A 26681-nucleotide genomic window follows, 5' to 3' on the forward strand; every position below is an offset into this window, starting at 1 on the left:
CCGGCTAATTTTTTGTATTTTTAGTAGAGATGGGGTTTCACTGTGTTAGCCAGGATGGTCTGGTAGTAGTCTTTTTTATTATTATTCTCTTTAGTAGCTGCCAGCCATCAGTGCAGTCAGATTAAGCAGGACTTCTGCTGCAATTTTAATCCTTCCTGCCCCTCCCCACTCAGTAACTTGCTTAAGCACCAAATGTATAATAGGCACTAACAAACCCCTATTCCTTGACAACCCCAAAGGAGGTAAGCAGCCGAACAACAACAAACACCCTGTGCCCAAATAAGCTTCATGGCCCAATATTCCTCCACTGAGCCAACTGTTAGTAATAATGAACTCTAGCCAGTTCACTGTTAATTCCAAGAAAGAAAATAATGTGATCTCTTGCTTTGAATTCATTGTCAAAATATTTGGCATGCTTTTAAATATCCCCCTAGACAGTAGGGAACCTGCCCTAAACATTGCCCTACCCCTGGAGATGGGGTAAGCGAAACAACAGAAAAAATGCAGAATAGTGATATTGCATTCTTTGCCCTGCCATCTAGTGTAATGGGTAAGAGCACAGATCCAGGGGCTGAGGCTCCTTGGCATTAACTTGCACAAGACCTTGACAGCTGCTTAATCTTTCTGAGTCTCAGTTTCCTCTTCTGTAAAATGGGTTGTTGTAAGAACTAAATGTAAATGAAGTCATGGATGAATGGCAAGATAAAGTTTTGTTTTCCCCTCACCCCCTTTTTTTCCTCCTCTAACCACCTGCCCATCAAGGAGATGGGGAGGGTGGAAAACACAGTAAAGAGAAGAAACTGTCCCTCTAACAATGCCTGGAGTATCTATAGAGCAGTCAACAATAACAAGAAACAGGTATGTGTTATGTTTGCTGCACTCTGAAGAAGAGGAAGGGCCTAAAACCTCCTCAGCATCTCATTGTAAGGCCCAGAGCAGGAGCGCCTTGAACCTCTTTACCAGAATGCAATCATTCATTCATTCGTGCAGTGAGTGCCATCTAGGTGCCAGGCATTGATTCTGACACAGCAGTGAACAAAATAAAGTCTCTACTCTCATGGAGCTTACATGACATTCTAGCTGAAGAAAAAACTAAAAGGTTACATGTGAAACCTATGCACGATACCTGTTACCTAGTAAGTACTCAATAAACACCAGCTATTTTAATTATTATTGTCATTATTATCAACCTGATTGCAAAATCTAATTCAGGATGGTTAAAATATGTCCCTTGACTAGTAGATAAATAGCTAGTTCCTACCCTAAACCTGGATCCATCTTCCATTAGCTTTCTCAGGAGTCAATCCGGGGATGCCAGTGCCTCTCCAAAGCACACAACTCCTCATTTTAGGGTTTTTTCCTCCCTTACCTTCCTACCTGTTTTCGGAAATCGGCACCATTTCGCAGCTCTCCAGAGGTTAGGAATGGAAGCAGGGGAAGTCAAAGCTGCAATGGTCTATTAAAGTGTGAATAACTGATGCCCCACCTCTCATCCTATTCAAGCAGTAAAAGACAGCCACCCTCTGCAAGGGTCTCCAGCTCTATGCACATGTATGAGCACAAGGAAGGGCCCGTGAGCTCATAGGCACAGCAGGCTAATCTGGGATTGCCTATTTCCTGCCAGCAGGTTTCCCCCTGGGGCCCACCCAGGCCACTCTCTTTAAAACTGGAATCCCCACACACTCATGCTGTTAGCTTGCTCTGTTTTTTAAAAATTACCTTCCAATATGTAATTCACTTATTTATTATGTTTGTTCTTTATTTTCTCTTTCCTCCATGATAATGTCAGTTCTTATGAGGGCAAAGATGTCTGTCAATTAGAACAATGTTTGTAACATATTAGGCACTTGGTAAATATTTGTTGAAGGAATGCATGAAAACCTCAGAGGAAAACGCTTTTTATCAATCCTGGTAGGGCTTTGTGGCACTTAACAAATGCTCCAAAAAGCCCTTCTCCCCGGCTGACGGGGCCGAGGCAGCAACCTGAGAGCAATGCCCCTTCTGCTTTCTGGGATTTGGGCTGTGTTGCCTGTTTGTCTTGTTTCTATTCTTTTAATCGCTCCCTTCCTGGGTTTTATATTGCACGCCCGGTCTTCCAGCGTCATGGTTACTGTAGTAAACAAACTGAAGGTCTGAATGCATCTTTTTCTCCCCCTGTAGCATGAAGAGCAGTTCGCGGTATCCGGTAGATAGGAAGCACAAATAGGTAATGAAACGGGGATTTGAAAGCGCCACCTTCAGTTGTAAGATCTAAGGGTGGACTGCGCGAGCTGAGGCCGGCAGAGCTGCGTGCAGGGCCGCTTTCCTGGGCCTCCTTCGCCTAGACAAGCAGGGCAGGGGTGAGGACAAAGGAGGGAAAAGGAGGGGAGCACGAGCTCTCTCCTTCCCTCCAGCCCCCACGTTAACTGGAAAAGGCAGCGTGTTCTGGGCCTTTCACGGCTAAAGCAGCAATAGGCGACCGACGAGGGAGGCGGGTGGAGAGGTGACTGGGAGCCTACAGTACGGAGCCAGGCGGAGGACAGAGCGAAGGGCGGCGGGGAGGGGCCCAGAGGGGCTGCTTCGGGCAGGGGCGGGCGCCTCCTCCTGGCCGCCCGCCAAGCATGCCCGGATCCCCTTAGCCGCGTCCCAACACATGGGCTTGCTTAACACTCTCTGAGAGAAGGAGGAGCCACCCCGCAGTGCTGTCTGGTCGCTTTTTCCCATTTTTGCTCCAGGATCCAGAGATTTGAGCAGGGGTGGGGTGAGGTGGGGTGGCAGGGTTCCTCCCCTTCCTTAGGCCCAGCCAGAGAGGGGCCCTGTCTCTCTGCTCCTTTCCTCGCCGTCGCCCTCTCTCTGCCAGGCTCTCCTGTTCGTCCTCCAGGGGCCCACGCTAGCCCCTCACCTCCCCTGAAGCCTTTTCTAACCGCTGCGGCCTCCGTGGTCCCCCACGCCTGTGTTCCTGTAGGACGTTTACAGTTCACACGATGTCTCATCTCTCGGTATATGTCTCCCAGGTAAATTGTGAAGCATAAAGAGCCATATGCTTTTTTTGCTTTAAGCAATTTTTTTTTCTGTAGTTTCTGTTGTAAGCAATAATCCTGCCCAGCCACTAATTGTGTGACCTCAGGAAAATCCTTTCTGAGTTTTCTCATATGCAAAATGAAATTTGTAAGGTCTCTTCCAGCTTTTAAATTCAGGGACTTTCCTGAACTAGAGAACTGGAAGTTGGATAGAGCTATTCTAGAACAGTGGTTTGGGGTCTAAATACATTGTTTCTGGGGGCCACGGGTAGGTGGCATCTGTGAGCTGCCCTCAGGAAGAGGGGCCAACAGTGACCCCGGGTTTCTTCTCTCCTGGACACTCACCACCTGCCTCAGTTCTTCTAAAACTGGGTCTCCGAGCCACACACGTATGACCACCCTGCCACTGGCTTAGACATGGGAAAAATCTCTTTTCCTGTAGTTCAATGCTGAAAGGAAGTCATTTTTCAGAGAGACACTTTGCTAGGAAATTATGAAGTACAAAAACACAAAACCGTAGAAGCATCCAATCAGAGCCCACATTCTTGTGAGGAACTTTAGTAAAAGGCAGACGCTAGCAGGCAAATTTTAGGCAACCTTGGGGCTCAGGTCATTTTTCTCAACTGAACCACGAAGACAAAGGAGGCCGCGCCAAAGACAGGCTCGCTGCTGCTACGCTGCGTATGTGGCCCCTTTCCTGGAGCCGGACAGAGAAGGAGCATGGGCTTCGGGATCATTCACGTGTGAATCTGACTCCAGTGTTGCCGTTTTCTGGCTGTCTGGCCTCGGACAAGCTTCTTAACTTCTCTGATTTTTGATTTCTTTTCTATTAAATAGGGATAATATCTTCTATCCCACTGGATTGAATGAATGTTAAATGAGAATGAATGTGTGTCATTCGGAGATATTAATTATAAACACAGAGCTTCTGTTGGTTTAAGCACAACAGCCGTTTATTAAGGGATGCTGAGGACCAGAATCCCTAGGAAGGCTGGGGAATCCAGCTTGGAAGCCATGAAGCCAGAAAGGCTTCTCAAATCCCATCACCAGATTCTCCTGCAGATTCTTCCTGCTGCAGCAGCTGGCATGGGCCTCACAGCTTGCACCACCTGTTCAGGCCTGCAAGGCATCTATTAGGGCTTCTGGCACTGCTGCTTCTGCTAACTGCGCTTTCTCAAGATACCATGTTCATTGCAGCATTGCCTTCCAAATCAAAGTCTTACACAACCTAATAGTTCTGACTGTTATTATTCCTGCAGGTCTGTCTCTGGTCCTGGGAAGGCCCACCCTCTTCAACCCATATTGTTTGATTCATTTGAGACAGCAATCCACCTGTTTTTAAGGCTGATTTTACCCTTGGGTGAAAGTCAGCTTTTTAAGGTCTTGTTCAGGAACAGAATGGTGTGACCTTGGCAGGAAGCACCAGTGTTCCCTGCAACCTCATCTCTTCTCCCCTACCCCTGATACAGCCTCAAGTTCACTAATTTGTCTTGTTTCCCCCTTCCTGCCCCCCGCCCGCCCCCGTGCTAAAGCCTATACTATCTTTAGGCCACCTAATAAATTCCCATTTCTTGCTTGAGTCAAGTTTGAGTTACCTGCTGAGCCACACCACCTGGCTGTTCTTTGATTCAATACACAAATGCCTCCAAGGCCTAGACCAGTGGTTCTCAGCTCTGGCTGTAAGTTAGAATCAAGGAGGAGTGAGGGGCTGGGCCTCAGGGACTCTCATTTAATAGATCTTGAGTGAGTCCAGATGTAGGTATTTTTGGCAGCTCCCTATTTAATTTGACCAGGGAAACTGTCTTCTAAAGTCCCATCACGGTTTTACTTACAGTGCCAGAAGCTTTAAGCAAGGAGTGAACATCAAAAGTACAATATCGAACAAGAGTGGAAGAGGGTAATATTCTCCCACTTTCTGATAACTATCTTTAAATACTAACTTTTGAATTAAGCATTTTGCAAGTAGAGGCTACAAATTAGCCTTTTCGGGTCATTTTAGTTTTTGGGCTTGAAAATCGTATAAATTCCTCCTAGGTCATTTTGTACCTGTTAATATTGAATTTATATAGAAAAGGGGGTTGGGCACAGTGACTCACACCTATAATCTCAGCACTTTGGGAGGCCAAGGTAGGAGAATTGCTTGAGCCCACGAGTTCAAGACCAACTTGGGCAATAACATGAGACTTTGTCTCTACCAAAAAAAAGAATTGTAATAAAATAAATTAGCCAGGGGTGGTGGCGCATGCCTGTAGTACCAACTACTCAGAAGGCTCACTTGAGCCCAGGACTTCCAGGCTGCATTGAGTTACGGTTGCACTACTGCACTCCAGCCTGGTGACAGAGTGACATGGGGCCGCAAAGATAAAGAAATAAATAGAAAAGGGGAGAGAGGAGAAGGGGTCTTTCAGGGAGTGACACAATGCCTCATTGTCCAGTCTCTAAGATAAATGAAGAATGGGAAATTCTAAATTCTGCTTATTTCAAACACGTGGTTCATTCATAACATGAATCATCTGATGATAAAGTGATTGAAGTAAAAATATCAACAGCTGTGAAACTACCAGGATGTTTATTACTCATTCTTGTTTCCACTTCTTGTCAATTTCCCCATCTATTCCCCATTCTGAACTGTCAGTTAAAATGATAAGAGCAGATGGAGGGAAAAAACAGGCCTTCAGTGATGAACTAGGTAAGAAGCTATGAACAATGGGAAAATGGGGAAGTAACATCTAAACATGGCTCCCTTCTGTATATGAATCGGCAACATTGAGAGGTTTTGCTGTGGATGACTATGGGAACAATTGATACTCTACTGCTGCTTCCGCTGTTGAAAACAAGACGACAGACCCCAAACTGCCATTTGGTATGCAACCAGGTAGGAATGCAGCAGCTAAGGAACACAAGGACCCACCAGTAGGGAGCAGTTGTCATTTTTTTCCCCCAATTAACAACTGAATCTCTGCCCTATGGTTGGGAATCACCCACCCCCCTGACAGAAGCTAAGAGCATCAGACACACACTTTGTATGCTGCCTTTGTAGCTAAAGCATGGGCATAGCTACTGACCAGAGTCCACCAAGCACAGACAATCCCCAGACTTAGAATCAAAAGCTCAGTGACCAGAAGTGACGCATGATGGCAGCTATTTTTAGTTGTCAGATGCAGCAGTGGCAGTGGTTCTAGCAGATGGGTCCAGTATCAAGGGCATTGGTGGGGGCAGGCTGCAACATTGGGGATGCAGTGCTGGCAGTGGAGAGGGCATTGCAGGACCAGTTCTATACTATGATGGAGCTGGTTTTAGACCTTGTAGATATATTTGATAAGCTACCCAATATCCTTTGAATAAAATATTTCTTTCTCTCTTTTTTTTTTTGAGACAGAGTTTCTTGTTGCCCAGGCTAGAGTGCAATGGCACAATCTCAGTTCACTGCAACCTCTGTCTTCCTGGTTCAAGCAATTCTTCTGCCTCAGCCTCCCAAGTAGGTGGGATTACAGGCATGCACCACCACGCCTGGCTAATTTTTTTTTTTTTTTTGTATTTTTAGTAGAGACAGGTTTACACCATATTGGTCAGGCTGGTCTTGAACTCCTGACTTCAGGTGATCCACCCACCTGCTGGGATTAGAGGAGTGAGCCACTGTGCCCGGCCTCTTTTCTTCTTAAATTACCCTGGATTATTGCAAGTCACGGAGTGGTCTCTCTACCTCGAGCCTTGCCATTTTTTGCAGGTGTTCTCAATGGAATAGTTAGAGTTCCTGTAACAATATCAATTATAGCATAACATTTCTCTATTCAGAACCCTCAAATGCATCCCATTCCACTCAGATTAAAAGCAATAGACTTTTACAGTGGCCTACAGGGCCCTATGCATCCCCATCCCCATTATCTCTCTGAGCACATAGCCTATCACAGTCCCCTTCACTCAGTCTGCAGCCTTTACTCAATCTGCAGCAGCCACTTAAAGGTATCTGCCTCAAGGACTATTTATGTGCTAAATTTTACCTGGCAAATTCTTCCCCGGAAATCCTCATGACTCACTCCCTCACCTCCTTCAAGCCTTTGCTGAAATATTCCTGTTGTGAAGGCTTCTCTAACAATGCTACATAAAACTGCATCACCCCCTTTCCCTGCTTCCCTGCAACCCTTATCCCCTTTCCCTGCTTTAGTTTCCTCCATAGAACTTATCACCAGCTAACATATGTTATACTCAACTTGTTTATGTCTGTCTTGCTCAGCTCCCATTAGAATGTAAGCTTCAAAAAGGCAGAGATCTTTGTTCACTGCTGCATCTATGGTGCCTGGAATAATGAGTGCCTGACACAGAATAGGTCTTCAATAAATATTTGCTGGATGAATGAGTGACTGAATGAAGAGGATGTCAATGATGGGTGAAAAGTGTAAGTTTCCCCGATAAAGGGAAGATAGTAGGAAGGAGACAGTGACTTTGCAGATTGGCAACTAGAGCTCAGCTGACGAAGCGGCATATCTTCCTGGAAGTCAGTTGGGAGAAAGAAGTTTGAACACAGGAATAGTCACAGACGTCTGAGGATTCTTTGTTTTTGCTTATTAAGGAGTAGGTTGATCTTTGTCAGTTCAATATGGCCAAGAGGAAACCAGCAATCAATATTGGTGGACAGAAATTCTAATTATGGAACAATTGCATAAATTCACTTAGGAAGAGTTGGGCAGTATAATCATGGTACTAGTGAGAGCAGCTACATCTATTGAGTGCTTACCAAATGCCAGGTGCTTTCCAGGCTATACATGGAGTATCCCATTTAATCCTTACAACAAACTCATGAGGTAGGCACTACTATTTTCATCTTATAAGTAAGAAAATGAGAGGCTAAGCAACTTGTCAAAGACCATATACCTGGAAAAATGTCATTTGTTCATTTGGTTATGTTTTGAGATGAGACAAGATCAAAAATTTTAGGTTGATCTCTGTAATCTAAAAATGAGCCTATAGAATTGCAGATAACAAACATGAAGTTGTGGAACATGAACAGGCAGATGAGGTTTGAACATCAGATTTGCAACTCTCTGTCTATATGACTTTAGGCAAGTTACTTATCTCTCTGAGTTTAGATTTATCCTCATTTGTAAAAGGTAAAAAATCATACAGTTCTTGTAGAGTTGTCAACATTAAATATAATCACACATGGAAACAGCTAAATGTCTAACCCAGAGAAGGCACTCAAGAAATAGCATTATTATCACTATTATTATTGTTGTTGTTGTTATTAGTATTATTATTTTTGAAGGAATTCAGAGTCTACTCTCTTGGCTCCATACTTGTGAGTGCCCACACAACCATGCTTCGCAAACAGTGTTTAGAAAGTGCAAACAGTGTTTAGAAAGTGCAAATACCTGAGTTCTACACCCAGAGATTCTAATTTGGAGATGATGGGAAATCTCACTCTCAAATGGAAAACTGGCATTCTCTTAACTCCGAAAAGAACTTCTTACTTTCTAATGTTGTGCTACCTAATGTGTGCTACCTAAAATACTCATATGAAACTAACTCATATGAAACTAACCCCTCCAAAGCAGTGTTGCCTAAGGTTAAGGGAATGCATTCTGGAACCTTGGGCAAGCACTTTGAGCTCTCTGGGCCTCATTGTCTTTATCTGTAAAATTGGGATAACAATAATTCCTACTTCATGCAGATGAGTCAGGGCTTAAAATAAACTTGTAAAATAATTAGAAAGAGCCTGGCATAAATTAGATAATCTAATAAAAATAATAACGACAACAATTATTATTATTTGATTCTATTTTTCATTCTTCGATCTCCTCCTGATGGAAGGATTTTTTTTAAGTGGAGATTATTTTCAGTCCCAAACTTTGCACACAGTATCCCGGCTTGCCTTCACCACTGAAAGAGGCAACACACTGAGCCCACTTCCTCTGGAGCCTGTGCTAAAGAAGGTGGGGCCTGCTGAGCAGTTCCAGACTGGCCTTAAGGAGACTTGACAATGCTTCATATATTCACATACATGTGAATATATGTGAGCTTAGGACATTCTTTTTGATAGCTAAACTTAATCTCACAGATAAAAATTTCATGTATTCTAGTGTGTAGAGAAGAGGATACTAGTGCATCCATCTTCCCAGCTGCTATGAAGATGCAGTAATTCCTTCCACTGGTCACTCTCACCCACCCAATCAGGTCTCCACTCTTGGTGTAGCTGCTTTCCTTAGCAAAGAGGCCTTCTCTGGCTACAAACTCAAAAGCAACCCACTCACCTTGCACCTCTCCTATATTAATCTGCTCTCACATTGCTATAAAGGAATGCCTAAGAGTGGGCAATTTATACAGAAAAAGAGGTGAAATTGGCTTAGGGCTCTGCAGACAGTACAGGAAGCATGATGCTGCCATCTGCTTGGCTTCTGGGGAAGCCTCAGGAAACTTACAATCATGGTGGAAGGTGAAGGAAAAGCAGGCATTATCACATGGCGAGGGCAGGATGTGGGGGGGAAGGAGGTGCCACACGTTTGTAAACCACCAGATTTCATAAGAACTCACTATTATAAGGACAGTACCAAGGGGATGGTGCTAGATCATTCATGAGAAATCCACCCCCATGGTCCAGTCACCTCCCACCAGGCCCCACCTCCAGCACTGGGGATTACAATTCAACCTGAGATTTGGGTGGGAAAACAGATCCAAGCCATAATCACCTCCCCACACCCAGATGGACACATCATTGCTCTGCCATTTCCTCTATCTCAGCCCTTTGTCTACTTTATAGCTCTTATCACAATACATAGTCTGATAATCATTTCACTTATTTTTCTGCTTTCCTGTTTCAAGGCCGTGCCATCTAAACACACACACACACACACACACACACACACACACACCATACACACACACAAATCCTTGTACATGTCAGGAACATGGGGATCCCATTTGTCTTGTTTTCTCCTTGCTCACTAGCGTCTATCTCAGTGCTAGCATTCAACACATAGCAGCTCTGAAGAAATATTGAATAAAGACTGAACTTTTTAGAGTTGTGACTGTAAAAAGGCATTTCCTCTGGACGATTCTATCTGGAAGAAAAAGCAAAGGGATGGATCTGAATAAACAGAAAAGGAACAAAAACACCAGTCACAGCTTCCATAGTTTCCTAGAGTGTGGCCATTGGTGGGGTCCATACCAACACTTTTAAGATCACTAAATGAAGATTTCCTGTCTTAAATGTGAAAACCAGTAGCTACACAAAGGCTGAAAAAGTATTAAAGTCATCACAAGGGATTACGAGTAACATAAATTACAATATGATTTTTTTTTGAGAGAGAGAGAGAAAAGAGAAAAAAAATTTAATGAGACCAGATCTAAAAGCTCTTGATCTTTCCAAGGGGAGAGAGATTAAGTCCTTTCTTCTCTTTACCATTTTTATCAGTTTGATTTTTAAGCTTGAATTATTCCCTCTGCTCCCAAATGAACACTGTCTATGCCCTGTCTGTCCCCACTTCCCACCCTCTTCCCACCTACATGAATGACTATTAGAGCTAGAGGGACTTTGAAAATAATCATGTCCAATCCTTCCTTTTGTTGAAGAAGAAAAAGAAGTCTGGGCCACACTGTGAGAGAGTCTCAGGACTCAGAAGGGGGCCTAGATCTCTTGACTCCCTAGCCAACCCTCCACGCCTCCAGGCTAGATTCAACTCACTTTGATTCATCTCCTTCTGATTTACCAGGGCCTGGTCCACTTTCCAGCCTCCGTGTAATAGTTCAGGAGGCAACTAGTCGATACCCTGTCTGTTTTGAGGCCAGGAACAACCCCGCAGATGTCAGCCAAGAGTGTTCTTTTCTGGCAGCACCAAGTGAGTCTTCCTTTGTCCAGTCAGCAATCCAGCCAGAATATGTTCAACCAGGGAAGTGTCCCATTCTTGAAGACAGTTCCTTCTCTCTTCAGTCAGTCTGTATTCACTCTGTAAGTCTGACATGCATTGGAAATAGGTATGGAGCTAAAGAAAGCCCCACAGTTTACATTCTAATTCTCAGAAAGCCCTGCCTTTCTCTCCCTGGGAATGCCAAAGCCACAAACTTCTCAATCCTCTTTTGCCCTATCCCCACCCGATAAGGAAGGAGCTCCCACAAATGCGTTGATGAGGTACGAAGTAGTGATAAGTCCTGACAGTCCACAGGGGCATTGAGAAAAGACCATGTCCTCATTCACAGCCAGTCTGGGGTGCTGCTCTGAACCCACACTGACCCCCAAAGTGTGGGAGGCAGAGCTGAGTCAGCTATTTCTGTCTTGTCCTCCTTTCTGTCCACCCCACCACAGAAGCTGAGATATGCTTGCAACGTCTTACTCTATGATCCTTTTCTCCCTAGAACCTTCATTCACTCAACGATAAAGCCTGTGAGCAGTTCATTTTTTTCATGTGGTTCCATATATGGCCTAGTCCCATTTTATTCTTGAATTTTTGTTTGTTGGTTTAGGGTTCTTGGCCAGCTGTGGGGGTGATGGCGAGTAGGATCTGATAATTTGAAGATAAAGTGACCCTCTCATTTCAGTCTCGAAAATTATCTTTATCTAAGCTCATTTTCCCTTCATCACTTTGACTCATTCACTCGTGAATACCCATATTTGGGTTGTTTATTGATTTTTATTGTTATTGTTGTTTATGGGTTTTATGGTTTGTTTTGGTTTTTTGGTGAGAGGGTTATTGATTTTAAGATAAGGAGTCCATCTTCATCTCCATCTCTCAAACTATGTGTGCCTGAAGCTTTATTCCCTGCAGTACTCTAGTTTTCAGATACCCTTAGTGATATTATTGTCTTCATGTTCTCTCAATCTGTGAACTAGGTTATTTTCAACTTTTTCCTCTTTTCTCCATTTGGTCACTCCCTCTTCTTAAAAGAGTTTCTCATAAGAACTTAATTTTGGTAATGTCTAGCTTTGTATTTGTTCTAAGTTTTAGAAATTATTGGCATGAATTCCAGACAAGATGGTATTGTGAATTCAAAAATTGAGGCTTTGTTTTGCTTCAAAGTCATTGATTGCCATGACCTATAAAAAAGAAAAAAAAAGAGGCCGGGCGTGATGGTTCACGCCTGTAATCCCAGCACTTTGGGAGACCAAGGCAGGCAGATCACCTGAAGTCAGGAGTTTGAGACCTGCCTAGACAACATGGTGAAACCCCGTCTCTACTAAAAATACAAAAAAGTAGCTGGGCATGGTGGCGGGCGCCTGTAATCCCCGCTACTTGGGAGGCTAAGGCAGGAGAATCACTTGAACCTGGGAGGCAGAGTTGCAGTGAGCTGAGATGGCACCATTATACTCCAGCCTAGCTGACAAGAGTGAAACTCTGTCTCAAAAACAAAAACAAAAAAAAAAAAAAAAGAAAGAAGAAAAAGGAAAATCAAAAGCCATGGCCATGCTAAAACAAGACAAGTATCTCTATGTACTAGAATCAGAAGAGAAACAACAGGTGGAATGTGAAACCATTGAGGTCTGAACCAGAAGTCAACAGAGGTGGCCCAGAGTTCTAGCTTCTGTGAGGTTATGGGAACCAAACTACCCCAGAGGTGGTGGTGGTGGTGGGGGAAAGCTCTTAGTTATCCATCCACAGCCCCTTCTGAAGGGACGGTATGGGGCAACCACATTTTGGACCACATTGCCCTGCCTCTCTCCCTCCAAAACTGATAATTGGACCAAGCCTGGGCACTTCCCCCAAAACATTGAAGCCATACCTGCTGTGAGAGGATCTCGAATGAAAAGTTCTACCAAATAAAAAAGAGCTGGCCCTATAAGATTCTTGTTCCAATGAAATTAAATTGGGAAATGTTGGAGGAAGTAAACAATTTTCAGTGGAAGCTGAAGCTGAAAGATCTTAAGTTTGAGAGGAGGCAAAAGGTTCATGATCAAGCCAAAGCCATGGGAAGCAGAAATTCTAAGATCAAAAACTTATTAGCTTCAGAGAAAAGCTTTAGGCTAGAGGATAAGTAAAGGATAACTTTAGACTGGAGGATAACTGCCTGATAGCTAAAAGAGGAAACCAGACCCAGAGAGAGATTTGGGGTCATCTTAATGTAGAAGAGAAAAAGCAAAACTCTACACCTCCCTCTGCTGAGATCCAGAGGAGTGCTTTGGATGCTGAGGGTCTTCCTGACCTCAGTCTCCATGAGACCCAGCTCCACAGTAATTCCTGCTCTTCTTGGGATGGGTTGTCTGGCTCCTCCTCAGCTACTGTAAAGCTCTGGGCTTGGACCCCTATTTCCTTGGTTTCGTGTATCTCTTTCTAACTGTCTTCCTCCCTTCACTCCAATCACTTGAGGTTCTTGAGTGAGACTGTTCAAGAAAACCTAACTGAAACATATGCTAGCTCATGTAATCCTCTCAATGGCCCTGTGAGGTAGGAGTACTATTTCCATCTTACAAGTGAGGAAACTGAGGCTACAGGACATTACGCAGCAGGATCATGGAACTGAAGGGATGGTTGTTTGCCTGTGTGACCTCACATCTATTTCCCCACCTTCCTCTGCTTTGCTGGCCGAGCAAAGTCTATTTTGTAGGCTCCCTTGCCAACTGGCTTCTGGTTCACCAAGAGGGTCACTGGAGGGAAATTTATGAGTAGAAAGAAGGGAGAAGCCAGGATATTTCTCCCTGTGTATTCTGGGCGGCATCTCTGGCAAGGGTTACACCTTCTTCGTGTCCCAGATCCCATGAGAGGGCCTTTCTTCCATGTTCCAGTCCCCTCCCACCAGGCCACCCCCAACCCCCCAGTCCTAAGAATGGTAGCACTTTCTGGCTTTTGCTAATCTTTGGGTGGCCTCCTGTCTCTTGTTTAGAGTTTTACTTCTTTCAAACCATTTGTGACTCGTTCTCCATGGTAAATCTCACCTATTACCTGGCATGGCTCTGTTTTCCTGAACGGACCTGACTGATGCAACAGTTAACCAGGAGGCAGAGTGAGGATGTGAAGTTCAGTCTGTGTGACTCCAGAACCCACACTCTGAAGACTGCATTATATTGACAGTTAAATCACAAAGAGATTTCTCAACTTTCACTACAAACTAGTGATGTTCCCCCAGAGCAAGCCCATAGCGAGGCCTTCCCATGACATGTTTTCACTGCTCATGGTTAAGAGTTAATTTTTTAGTACCCCAACCCAAAGATCAACATGGGACCAGAAGAGTTCATTTCTAATGGCTGCCCCTTGCACAACAACCCATTGCCCTTTTCTAACTCTGCTTCCTGAACCCCCAGGGCCAATCTAGTAGTACTGGATTTGCTGCCAGGTGAGGAACCAAGTGAGGAATTGCCATAGCACCAAACTGAATGTACACTATTGAGCCAGATTGAAATCTCAAGGTGCTCAATAGGCTTACCACTGCTTGGAAGCAGCAAACAGGAAATTTCAAGTTCTATAGAGTTATTTCAAGTTCTATACAGTTCTATAGAGTTATTTATAATATATAATATAATATACTTATAAATTTCAAGTTCTATAGAGTTATATTATTTAGGAAAACTGCAATAAACCTAGTGCTCTTGGTTTCTTATCCCTCTCCTAGCTTCAACCTTCAGAGATCCTATTTTCTTAGGATAATCCGTCCTATCGACACTCCCAGGTCTCAGTATTTTGTTTGTGTTCTCTCTCTCTCCTATCTCTTTCTCTTTTCCCACTAGATTTCTGGCCATCTGACCTCCAAAGCCAAGTGTCTACCATGCTAAATTGTGTATTAATAGTTCTGTGTTGGTCATTTATCAAGACCTACATCACCTCTGACAAGCCATCATCATGTGTTTTATGCTGTACTTAAGGTCTGGCTTACTGTACTGTATTGAATTTACAGGAACCTAGAAGCAAGTGAATGTTGGATTTTTCAAAAGTAGCTGCTCTGCCAGAGAGAGCAGAATGTTCATATCATCTTCCCTGAAAATCTAAAAAAAAAGTCAAATCAAATCAAGAAAAGAGGCTTCAACTTTATGGTCTTTAAATAAACGCACAATTGCTTCCCTAATTGTGAATGTCTCCTGCACCTGGTCTCAATCCTTTAAACACTAACTTTAGTCCATTCATGGGTAAAGGTGGATAATTTCAGCATCTAATTAACAAGTGTGTGGTGGGAAGTATGTTACACTCTTGAGGTTTGTACTACCCAATATACCATACTACTGACGAGTGACAGTCTGTATTTCACAGACCACAGTTGAACAATCTATACAATCATTTGTAAAAATAACCAAGTCTTGTTACAAAAATGGGTGTTATTTTTGGTATCTCTCTCCTCACTCCCTCCAGCTACCACCTCCCACATCCCAGCTGTCTCCTGATCCTGTGAGGGATTTTGTTTCTCTGAAAAGCTTTAGTAGCTTCTCTATTCTGTCCTTTTCTCTAAAGAAATCTCAATGTTAACAGAAACGAAAATGGACGGCCATATGTCACAAGAGAATGAAATCTTTGCTCCCAATCCCTGTCTTCAGAGCTGACCTAGAAGCCAGCCACTCCACTCAGACGTAAGTATGGACTGTGTGAGTGAGGAAGATTCCTCCCCCACCCCGTGTCCCCCAGCAGGCCCCTGGCTCCTACTCACCATTCAGGTCTCAGCAAAAGAGTGGAATCTTTGAGAAAATATTCTCTACCCCTAGCCTAAGTCACTGTCTTTTGTTACATGTTCTCACAGAACTGCCATCCCTTCCTCAAGAGTAATTAACTCAGTTTGTAGATATATCCTTACCTGTGTCCTCTGGATAATGACTGGCTAACTCTATTAGTCTGTAAGATCCATGAATATATGTGTCCCAAACTATATTTCATGAAAGTGGTGGTGGTAATGGTGGAGTCTTTTAGCAAATAAATTTGGGAAATACTGGATTAAATAAAATTAAGCAATTTTCTTTATCATATGACTTCTTGGAGCCTTTTAAATGCTAATGTGTGTAATGAATCACCAGCATTTCCCAAGCCACACTAATCATGGAACCTTTTCTCATAACAAACATTAACATCTGGAAGAATTATAATTCTTCCAGAATTATATATATATATAATTCCAGAATATAGTTTGAGAAAAGCCAATATAGAATGAATGACAATTTTTGCCTTTACTCCAACATTATAGCAGAGTGGTAATTACCATGAACACACAAATTTCAAATGACCTTGGAAGCTGCAGTAAAAAAAAAAAACTGTGACAAAACTTCAGAGTGAAATAATCACACAGGAAGAGATAGCAGGGTAAGGGTAAGTTTGAGGAAGACACAAAAAAGAAAGAAAGAAAAAAAGGAATGAGAAAGCAAGCTAACTTATCGAGAAGGCAAAGATGGAGTTCCAATTAAAGTAGAATCAATGCCAGGCAACAGAGTAAAAGGAGAATTGGTAAGATTCATCTAGATACTTGATGCTGAGAAGTAAGAATTAATATGGTGCCTGCTGCCGGTCCAAGACAGTGGGGGAAAGATTGATGACTTTGGGTTTTCTGGCTGGTTTTCAGATAGAACTGAACCATGTGATCAACTTGTTTATGATAATGTGAAGTCCAAAATGGCAAATTTCAAGTTTGATAGAGTTGTATTATTTAGGAAAACTGCAATATACCAAATAATAGTTGATTATTTAAAATACTATAAATATATATTTTTTAGATTTTGATAAAATTATTTAAATGTTTTTTAAATGAAGACATATCAGTACCACTGTGAACTATTTTTTTATTTGAGAGGTGAAAATAAATGCGTATTAATATTCAAAGGGGCTGCCTCAGACCTTTTTAAGAAATGGAGATATAGACTTAATAATTGAACATAGAAATAATCATTCCAAGTTTAGTGGCTAATAAAGTGAAGTCTAAGAAATTACTATGCTGTAGATTATCTTCTAGCATTAAGCCAGTGGGCATGGAGTTTCTTTTTAGTTCAACTTCACAACAAGGCATATGATCACATGTGAAAAATGGGAATTCAGAGTGGAAATCTTGTTTTGAAAATCAGCTAACATTTAGTTTTCCACTTCAGCCAATTCGGATCACTATGTTCGTGAGGACTTTAACAGCATCAGGTAAAATTTCCCTTTCTATATAATAATAGCAGAGAGAATGTAGAAGTTAGTTATCAGAGAGTTTGAAGGCTTCCAAATGTTTGCATTATTGCTGAAAACAATCTATAATTTAATGTAGACTAACTCTGGACTGTACATGAACACCAGCAATGAAGAGGAAGGAAACTTTGAAAAATGTTATACACTGGAGGATTGGCTTTACTGTGGCTATCTTTTATGTCAACCCTGAAATCTGTCTTTATTATTAAAAGAAGTTTAATTTCAAAGGATGGCTCCCCTTTAAAATGGTTCTTGGGTGTTGACACTGGATGCAGAAGCAGAACTTACACAGTCTGAACAAACGGGTGGTTAGAAAAGATTGTTTCAAGCCTCTGTGTTCCTAAGATCATGGCTAAATTTCCCAAATTCTGAATTGAGGTGAAAGGTCAGAGAAAGAGTTCATTTGGAATGGGATCTAGAGGTGTCCCTAAGGAAAGAAAGGTTGGCTGGATCTGGTGATTTAGGAGAAATCCAGTCTGCTCTCACCTGCTGCCATCTGCCATCTGCTTCTGCTCCATCTTCCCAGTCTCAGGGGATCCCCTCAGCTCTACCCTCTGGGTCCAGCCACCTCGGCCTCGGTGACCCCAGACCCTCTCTGTCTCCACCACTAACCCCACAGAAAGACTTAGTTTAAGTTTCCTCAAGAGGGGCTGAAAACATAAAGTCTCTTTACTTCCTCTTCCAGAGGGTTGTGTGTGGGCATGCATGTGTACACATGTATATGTGTGCACACATGCGTGTATGCAGTGGATGTGCATTTGAGTTCTTTTGGTGTAGGCTGTCATGTGAAGACTTCTCAGACTTTTAGAAACATGATACTTGCCTCTCTTTCCTGAGGTCAGGATAAAGAGACACTCAGACCTTTAAGGCTTTGTGCTTAATCCCTCGTCCTGCTGCGTGAGGAATAAGAGTTCACTGTGGGTTTGCTCACTGGTCTCTAACTGGACTCTCAGGAGCATCCAAAGCCCAGCCAGAGCCTCAGCCTGCTGCCTGGGCACCAGCCTCATCTGCCTGCTCATGCATGTCTGCTCTTGCTTCCTCTGACTTTTGGACATGTCCAGCTTGCTCCCACATGTGTCTCAGATCTGCTTGCTCTGCACTTGTCCACATGGACTTTTCTGGCTCCAGACTTAGCCTTGCAGCTCTCACAAAGTGTCAGAAAGATCTCTCAGCTCCAGGAGCCACGGCTGCCTTAGGGCATTCTAGTTCCTCCCATGAGGGGGAGATCAGATACCCTTCAAGATATAGCCCCCAGAACAAGAGACGTGTTTTGCCATTCTTCAAGGAAAGGAAATTTCTCTCTCTCTCTCTCTCTCTCTCTCTCTCTTCCTATCATGAAACAAGTGCATGAACAATTTGACTTCAAGCTTTGTGGTCCAGAGCATCCTAGGCACTCAGTATGGTCCCCAAACCATTGCTTTCTAACCCGCTGCAGGCCTTTTGGGAGAAAGTCAACTCTTTTCCTTTTCTTAGGCTCAGTCTGGTTATTCAACCCAGAAAGGGGAAGCTGGGGCTGGGGCCATAGTGTTTGGACTCAGCCTGAAATTCTCCTTCTGTGATGGTTAATATTGAGTGTCAACTTGATTGGAATGAAGGATGCAAAGTATTGTTCCTGGGTGTGTCTGTGAGGGTGTTGCCAAAGGAGATTAACATTTGAGTCAGTGGACTGGGAGAGGCACAGCCACCCTCAATTTGGGAGGGCACCATCTAATCAGCTGCCAGCATGGCTAGAATAAAAGCAGGCAGAAGAAATTGGAAAGAACAGACTTGCTAAGTCTTCCAGCATCCGTCTTTCTCCTGTGCTGGATGCTTCCTGCCCTCAAACATCAGACTCCAAGTTCTTCAGCTTCTGGGACTCTTGGACTTACACCAGTGGTCTGCCAGGGCCCCTCGAGCCTTTGACCACAGACTGAAGGCTGCACTGTCGATTTCCCTACTTTTGAGGTTTTGGTACCCAGAACAATCCACCAATGACTTCCTTGCTCCTCAACTTGCAGACAGCCTATCTTGGGACTTTACCTTGTGATCAAGTGAGTCAATTCTCCTTAATAAACTCCCTCTCATATATACATATATCCTATTAGTTTTGTCCCTCTAGAGAACCTTGACTAACACATCTTCCTCCTTTCTGTCTTTCTCACCCAAACGAGAAGGCTACCACCAGTTGTGATCACAATTGTCCCAGTGGTTTCCAATACTCCTTTCATAGTAATTTTAGACCTTTAGGTTTGACACCTCTTCTTGTAGAACACTCCAATATGGGCAGAGTCCCTTCAGCTCAGCTGACAATCAGTTTACACATACTGTACCCAAGCTGTCACTGAGGAAGAAACTGACATCTCAGCCAGCCCACCTTGAGACCAGAGAGGGGCCTGAGTAGCCTATCTGCCTCAGATACCAGAGATAGAGCAAGAAGCCCCATACTGCACAGACAGCCCTGTGGCATCCTGAAACTCCTTGTTATCTTCAGGGACTGTGTTTAGTTCCAGGTTAATTGAGGGGATTTTTGGTTCAAGGTTCAGTTCAGGAAAATTCTATATCTTTACAACTTATATTCTACTTCATTCAAAATGAGAATGTCTTCATTGATCCCCATGGGAATATGTATTCTTTCAACTCTATAATCATGAATAAGATAAAACCAATGAAAATTTGCCATGGCCTTTTAGGCACCAAATATTAATATTCACATGTTTCAGAAGCGGTGACATGGAGAGAATTTTCTGATCTTTCATCCTAAATGGGTCTGTGGGCACCATGGAAAAGACGGGCAGGCCGCTCTCCACCTGTGTGCACCATCGCTGGCATGTGCTGATGCTGAAGTAGGATCTAACTTGGTTCCCAGGCCCTTACTCAGGCCTTCTTCCCGCTTCTTCAAAACTCCAAACTCTAGGGCATTTTTGGGGTGACTTTGTGAATGAGGCGCAGGCTTCTGGAACATCTGGGCTTCAGGGAAGGTATCTTCTTCCCTCTGTTCTGTTTCCAGAGGATCCCTACTGTGCACAAAAGGAAGAGGCACAGTGAGTTAAATGGATAGACGAGTACTCCAGAGTGAAATTCCTAGAGGTTATCTCATTTTTCCATTTACTATAATCCTCATACTATCTTAATAAGTTTTCCAACATTTCAATTCATTTCATTTATCTTCTTAAGACAGGAAAAAAAGTTTTCAAAAATTACCTCAGGGTCCTTTGCATCAGTGAGATAAATGGAGAGGTCTGTGAGTGGCGCGTACCTTGCAGCAGTCTTTCTCTGGCATCCCATCAGGGCAGGTATGATCTGGTTCATATCAGTAGGATGGCCGTAGGTCTCCTGGAAGACGTTATCAACTAATTTCTGAATAAAGATAAAAGTCAGTGAAAGATGCTAAGGCTCCTTTCTAGTTAAATAATTCATTGAACGAATTATGTTAAAATTTAGTTTCCTCATGTAGAACAAGTGCTGTCAAATACCCCAGGGAGTCGGGACAGTGGGTGAAAAATGAATCTTTAGTGATCAAATTTGGTGATCATCTGCTCACAGAGAGTGCGTCAGCCACCTGGAGGGTTATTCAAAGCAGACCTTAATCATATTTTGGTCATGTTTTGGTCTCTTCCTTATCTATTCCACAAACCCTTTACAAAGAATCCACTCCAGCCCACACCAGAATAGTGGAAGGTTACCACTGCTTCCACTGTGGGCCAAGCTGTCCCTATCATTCTCAATGGACTCTTTAATGGAATCCCTCCTTCTGCTCTTGTCTCCCTACCATCTATTCTCAACATAGTAGCCAGAGTGATCCTGTTAAAATGTGAGTCAGACCATGGAAGTCCTCTGATCAAGACCCTCCAAGAATTCCCCATGCCACCCAACATAAAAGCCAGAAACTTTATGGTCTTCAGGGCCCTTCCTAATCCACTTTCTACCACTCAGCAATCTAACCTCACTCCTTCTACTCTCCCCAGCCACCCTTTCTCCTTGCTTGTTTCCTTACTTCACACAGATTTTTTTTTATGGGTCATCTCAATGAGACCTTCCCTCCCACCTTGATAAATATTGCACCTCTCCAATGTTCTCTGTTCCTCTTCCCTGCTTTATTTTTGAAACAGTTTTTAATAACAATGTGACATATGTATAGTTCGCATATTTATTTTGTTTATTTTGCATTTCCCCTCTAACTTCTGCACTCTCTACTCACTCACACACCCTACAACGTAAGCCCTAGAAAGGCAATCATTTTTGTTGGTTTTCTTCAGTGCCTTCTTCACAGGGCCTAGAACAGTGACTGACACATATTAGGCACTCACTAAATACTTGTTGGACCAAAGTCAATCCATCAGTCATCCATTTGGAAGCCGTCTGCAAGACAGCGAGCAGAGTGGAGCAGAGAAGAGAATATACATAGCGGGGCAGAGGGGAAGCAAGGCAAGGAGAGACTGTAAAGTCCTGAGAGACAGAAAGAGTAGCCATGATCCTCAACTTTCCAGTTCCCAATTCCAATTCCCATTAGGCCTCTGACATGTAATTTGTTTCCTGTCTTTGTATCATCCACATGTGTCCATGATATTTCCTGCTGTATCCTTACAACAACACTGTCTAACTTGAACTGGCTTGAAAAGGAGAATAGGAGACAATATTAGAAAAGGAATGGGTAAGCCAGATGACTTGCAAGCCATTGTAAATACCTGGATTCTTGCTCTGTTTGAAATGAGAGGCCAGGAGAACAGGGTTTTTTGTTTGTTTTTTATCAAGGAATTATGCACTGACTTTCATTTTAAGGAGCTCCCTCTGACTGCTATATGAAGAGAACTGCACTCCTGCCCGAGCAACAGAGCAAGACTGAAGAAGGAAGGAAGGAAGGAAGAAAGAAAGGAAGGAAGGAAGGAAGGGTTCTCCAGAGAAACAGAACTAATAGAAGAAATAACGTAAGAGAAAGAGAGAGAGAGATTTAAAGAATTGCCTCATACAACTGGGGGTGCTGGCAAGTCGAAAATCCCCAGAGCAAGCCAGCAGGCTTGAGATTCTGGTAAGAATTGATGTTGCTGTTTTGAGTTCAAAGGCTGGAAACTCAGGCAGAATTTCTCATTACACCCCGCTCTTCTCATTCTCTCTGAAGCCCCTCCAGTTAAGCTTTTGACCCCATCAGGTCCTCTTCCACAATGGCCATAGTTGAGGCCACCAGTCTTGTGACTTAATACCACATCTATATGCTGAAACTCCTACATTTGTATATGTGATAATCATATGTTGCAAGCTGGAGGTAGAATCCCTTCTTTTCCAGGAAACCTCAATGTTTACTCTTAAGATCTTCAACTCATTGGATGAGGCTCACCTAATAATTTAGATCTTCAACTCATTGGATGAGGCTTACCTACATAATGAAGGGTAATCTGCTTTATTCAGAGTCTACTGATTTAAATGTCTGTCACATCTAAAAAATATTTTCATAGCAACATCTAGACATATTTAACCAAACAACTGGGAACTATAGCCTAGCCAAGTTGACATGAAATTAACCATTACAGGGGCCAGAGTGAAAACAGGGAAGCCAGTAAGGAAACAATTAAGATACTCTAGATGGGCAGGAATGGTAGCATGAACCAGAGTGGTAAATAACAGAGGTGATGAGAATTGGTCAAATTTTAGATATATTTTGAAGGTGAAGCTGATAGAATTTGCTAATAAATTAGATGTGAGAGTGAAGAATCCAGGATGACTCCAAAGCTCTTGGCCTGAACAACTGGAAGAATAGAGTTTCCATCAACTAAAATGGGGAGGCTGCAAGGGGAGCAGTTGAGGGGAGAAGAAAGAAAATTCAGGGAGGGGGTGGAGCCAAGATGGCTGAATAGCAACAGCTCCAGTCTACAGCTCCCAGCATGAGCGACACAGAAGACGGCTGATTTCTGCATTTCCAACTGAGGTACCGGGTTCATCTCACTGGGGAGTGCCGGAAGGTGGGTGCAGGTCAGTGGGTGCAGCGCACCATGCGTGAGCCGAAGCAGGGTGAGCCATCGCCTCACCTGGGAAGAGCAAGGGGTCAGGGAATTCCCTTTCCTAGTCAAAGAAAGGGGTGACAGATGGCACCTGGAAAATTGGGTCACTCCCACCCTAATACTGCGCTTTACCAACGGGCTTAACAAACGGCACACCAGGAGATTATATCCTGCAACTGGCTCAAGGGTCTTACGCCCACGGAGCCTCGCTCATTGCTAGCACAGCAGTCTGAGATCAAACTGCAAGGCAGCAGCGAGGCTGGGGGAGGGGCCCCCGCCATTGCTCAGGCTTGAATAGGTAAACAAAGCAGCCAGGAAGCTCGAACTGGGTGGAGCCCACCACAGCTCAAGGAGGCCTGCCTGCCTCTGTAGGCTCCACTTCTGGGGGCAGGGCGCAGACAAAAGACAGCAATAACCTCTGCAGACTTAAATGTCCCTGTCTGACAGCTTTGAAGAGAGTAGCGGTTTTCCCAGCACGCAACTTGAGATCTGAGAATGGGCAGACTGCCTCCTCAAGTGGGTCCCTGACTCCTGAGTAGCCTAACTGGGAGGCACCCCCCAAGTAGGGGCGGACTGACACCTCACATGGCTGGGTACTCCTCTGAGACAAAACTTCCAGATGAACGATCAGGCAGCAGCATTTGTGGTTCACCAATATCCGCTGTTCTGCAGCCACTGCTGCTGATACCCAGGCAAACAAGGTCTGGAGTGGACCTCCAGCAAACTCCAACAGACCCGCAGCTGAGGGTCCCAACTGTTAGAAGGAAAACTAACAAACAGAAAGGACATCCACACCAAAAACCCATCTGTACATCACCATCATCAAAGACCAAAGGTAGATAAAACCACAAAGATGGGGAAAAAACAGAGCAGAAAAACAAGAAACTCTAAAAATCAGAGCACCTCTCCTCCTCCAAAGGAACACAGCTCCTCACCAGCAACGGAACAAAGCTGGACAGAGAATGACTTTGACGAGTTCAGAGAAGAAGCCTTCAGAAGATCAAACTACTCCGAGCTAAAGGAGGAAGTTCGAACCAAGGGCAAAGAAGTTAAAAACCTTGAAAAAAATTAGACGAATGGCTAACTAGAATAACCAATGCAGATAAGTCCTTAAAGGACCTGATGGAGTTGAAAACCACAGCACGAGAACTACGTCATGAATGCACAAGGCTCAGTAGTCGATGTGATCAACTGGAAGAAAGGGTATCAGCGATGGAAGACGAAATGAAAGAAATGAAGCAAGAAGAGAAGTTTAGAGAAAAAAGAATAAAAAGAAATGAACAAAGCCTCCAAGAAATATGGGACTATGTGAAAAGACCAAATCTACATCTGATTGGTGTATCTGAAAGTGACAGGGAGAATGGAACCAAGTTGGAAAACACTCTGCAGGATATTATCCAGGAGAACTTCCCCAATCTAGCAAGGCAGGCCAACATTCAAATTCAGGAAATACAGAAAACGCCACAAAGATACTCCTCGAGAAGAGCAACTCCAAGACACATAATTATCAGATTCACCAAAGTTGAAATGAAGGAAAAAATGTTAAGGGCAGCCAGAGAGAAAGGTCAGGTTACCCACAAAGGGAAGCCCATAAGACTAACAGCTTGATCTCTCAGCAGAAACTCTACATGAGAGTGGGGGCCAATATTCAACATTCTTAAAGAAAAGAATTTTCAACCCAGAATTTCATATCCAGCCAAACTAAGCTTCATAAGTGAAGGAGAAATAAAATCCTTTACAGACAAGCAAATGCTGCGAGATTTTGTCACCACCAGGCCTGCCCTACAAGAGCTCCTGAAGGAAGCACTAAACATGGAAAGGAACAACCGATACCAGCCACTGCAAAAACATGCCAAATTGTAAAGACCATCAAAGCTAGGAAGAAACTGCATCAACTAACAAGCAAAATAACCGGCTAACATCATAATGACAGGATCAAATTCACACATAACACATAACAATATTAAATGTAAATGGGCTAAGTGCTCCAATTAAAAGACACAGACTGGCAAACTGGATAAAGAGTCAAGACCCATCAGTGTGCTGTATTCAGGAAACCCATCTCACATGCAGAGACACACATAGGCTCAAAATAAAGGGATAGAGGAAGACCTACCAACCAAATGGAAAACAAAAAAAGGCAGGGGTTGCAATCCTAGTCTCAGATAAAACAGACCTTAAACCAACAAAGATCAAAAGAGACAAAGAAGGCCATTACATAATAGTAAAGGGATCAATTCAATAAGAAGAGCTAACTATCCTAAATATATATGCACCAAATACAGGAGCACCCAGATTCATAAAGCAAGTCCTTAGTGACCTACAAAGAGACTCAGACTCCCACACAATAATAATGGGAGACTTTAACACCCCACTGTCAACATTAGACAGATCAAAGAGACAGAAAGTCAACAAGGATATCCAGGAATCAAACTCACCTCTGCACCAAGCGGACCTAATAGACATCTACAGAACTCTCCGCCCCAAATCAACAGAATATACATTCTTTTCAGCACCACACCACACCTATTCCAAAATTGACCACATAGTTGGAAGTAAAGCACTCCTCAGCAAATGTAAAAGAACAGAAATTATAACAAACTGTCTCTCAGACCACAGTGCAATCAAACTAGAATTCAGGATTAAGAAACTCATTCAAAACCACTCAACTACATGGAAACTGAACAACCTGCTCCTGAATGACTACTGGGTACATAACGAAATGAAGGCAGAAATAAAGATGTTCTTTGAAACCAACGAGAACAAAGACACAACATACCAGAATCTCTGGGACACAGTCAAAGCAGTGTGTAGAGGGAAATTTATAGCACTAAATGCCCACAAGAGAAAGCAGGAAAGATCTAAAATTGACACCCTAACATCACAATTAAAAGAACTAGAGAAGCAAGAGCAAACACATTCAAAAGCTAGCAGAAGGCAAGAAATAACTAAGATCAGAGCAGAACTCAAGGAAATAGAGACACAAAAAACCCTTCAAAAAATTAATGAATCCAGGAGCTGGTTTTTTGAAAAGATCAACAAAATTGATAGACCACCAGCAAGACTAATAAAGAAGAAAAGAGAGAAGGATCAAATAGACGCAATAAAAAATGATAAAGGGGATATCACCACCGATCCCACAGAAATACAAACTACCATCAGAGAATACTATAAACACCTCTACGCAAATAAACCAGAAAATCTAGAAGAAGTGGATAAATTCCTTGACACATACACCCTCCCAAGACTAAACCAGGAAGAAGTTGAATCACTGAATAGACCAATAACAGGCTCTGAAATTGAGGCAATAATTAATAGCTTACCAATCAAAAAAAGTCAAGGACCAGATGGATTCACAGCCGAATTCTACCAGAGGTACAAGGAGGAACTGGTACCATTCCTTCTGAAACTATTCCAATCAGTAGAAAAAGAGGGAATCCTCCCTAACTCATTTTATGAGGCCAGCATCATCCTGTTACCAAAGCCTGGCAGAGACACAACAAAAAAAGAGAATTTTAGACTAATATCCTTGATGAACATTGATGCAAAAATCCTCAATAAAATACTGGCAAACCGAATCCAGCAGCACATCAAAAAGCTTATCCACCATGATCAAGTGGGCTTCATCCCTGGGATGCAAGGCTGGTTCAACA

At 43.2% G+C, this 26681-nt stretch overlaps 2 long non-coding RNA genes across 11 annotated transcripts in view, besides 1 other annotated feature; one reads left to right on the forward strand and one right to left on the reverse strand.

The window, feature by feature from the left end:
• Window positions 2178–2227: a silencer, noted in NCBI's record as "silent region_16082". NCBI's record gives its function as "represses an Ori minimal core promoter by ATAC-STARR-seq in GM12878 lymphoblastoid cells {active_cell/tissue: GM12878}" and the evidence as "EXISTENCE:reporter gene assay evidence [ECO:0000049][PMID:35858748]".
• Window positions 2617–17283, forward strand: LOC102503427 (uncharacterized). The gene is made up of 4 exons (NR_105008.1): window positions 2617–2993; window positions 15380–15477; window positions 16975–17017; window positions 17136–17283. It is a non-coding gene; the product is annotated as an uncharacterized LOC102503427 (long non-coding RNA).
• The window catches only part of TNPO1-DT (TNPO1 divergent transcript), a 245434-nt gene continuing 235407 nt past the window's right edge, over window positions 16655–26681 (reverse strand). For 5 of the 10 annotated variants that reach the window (NR_186516.1, NR_186515.1, NR_186512.1 and 2 more), the window contains 2 exons: window positions 20292–20392; window positions 16655–20049 (listed from right to left, as the gene is read on the reverse strand). This is a non-coding gene — a long non-coding RNA (TNPO1 divergent transcript). Of the gene's footprint in view, window positions 20053–20236; window positions 20393–26681 lie in introns of all 10 variants that reach the window. The other 5 variants (NR_186514.1, NR_186510.1, NR_186517.1 and 2 more) reach the window with 3 other exon arrangements.

The sequence above is a fragment of the Homo sapiens genome, chromosome 5, assembly GCF_000001405.40.
Source record: "Homo sapiens chromosome 5, GRCh38.p14 Primary Assembly".
Classification (NCBI taxonomy): domain Eukaryota; kingdom Metazoa; phylum Chordata; class Mammalia; order Primates; family Hominidae; genus Homo; species Homo sapiens.